The sequence below is a fragment of the Homo sapiens genome, chromosome 10 (genome assembly GCF_000001405.40).
Source record: "Homo sapiens chromosome 10, GRCh38.p14 Primary Assembly".
Classification (NCBI taxonomy): Eukaryota; Metazoa; Chordata; class Mammalia; order Primates; family Hominidae; genus Homo; species Homo sapiens.
The window spans coordinates 107,713,407-107,714,744 of NC_000010.11; positions in this window are offsets into that span (position 1 = coordinate 107,713,407).

Below are 1,338 nucleotides of genomic sequence, written 5' to 3' on the forward strand. Positions count from 1 at the left end.
TTCAAAGTGGGCAGCCCATCAGTGATTATCTGTAATACCTCTGGGGAGTTTCACATTTCACTCTGTATTCGCTTCTCGCTGGCTGTCATAATAAAGTCTTTCCAAATAAACACCTTTTTTTTTTTTTTTTTTTTTTTTGAGATGGAGTCTTGCTCTATCGCCCAGGCTGGAGTGCAGTGGCATAATGTCGGCTCACTGCAACCTCCGCCTCCCAGGTTCAAGTGATTCTCCTGCCTCAGCCTCCTGAGTAGCTTGGATTACAGGTGCATGCCACCACGCCTGGCTAATTTTTGTATTTTTAGTAGAGACAGGGTTTCACCATATTGGCCAGGCTGGTCTCGAACTCCTGATCTTGTGATCTGCCCTCCTCGGCCTCCCAAAGTGCTGGGATTACAGGTATGAGCCACTATGCCCTGTCAACACATCTTAATATTATCTTCATTTGCAAAATGCCCAATTTTTGCTCATCTTAAAATTTCATTGTGTTTTGTCAGCTGCAACGATTTGGGAAACTCGGATATACTCTCTAACTCTTAATTTCAAAATTGATACAGAAAATATGCAATCTAAATAGTGTGATACTTATTAAAGAAAATGAGTTTGTATTCAAAAAGCTTCCCACAGTTACATTTCCGGGCACAGGTAGCTTCACCAGAATTTTGTAGTAAACATTTGAAGAAGAAATAATGTCAATACTGTTTCCCAACCAGAAAATAGAATAAAAGGGAGAATTTCTTACACATTTTATAAGGACAGAATAATTGAATAATTCTAATACCAAAACTAGACAAGATCACAAGAAAATAAAAATACAAATTAATATTCATCATGAATACACATGCAGAATTCTTACCAAAATAGTAACAAATCAAAAGAAACATATACAAATGAAAAAGAAATCACAAGCAAAGTTTATCCCAAGAATGCAAGATTGTGTTTACATTTATAATTAAATAAGCATAATTCACATTAATAAAATATAAGCTACATAAAAATATAATCAATAATGTAGAAAAGGCATTTCACAATGTCAATACATTTATAATAAAGAATCTCTGCAAACTAGAAATTAAAAAATTTCCTCAAACTTATAAGGCAGGAATATAAAAGTTCTTAGAGGTAATAAATATTTAATGGTAAAATACGGAATTTTTATATGATTGGAGATGAAGCAAGGATGTCTACTTTTATCATATCTTGTTAACATTATGTGAAAGGTTTATCTTTAGCAAGACAAAAAGTATACAGGTAGGAATAAAACAAGTAAAAATATATTTTTCTGATACAATTACATAATTGAAAAACATTATATTACAACTTAAGTAAATTCAGTAAAGT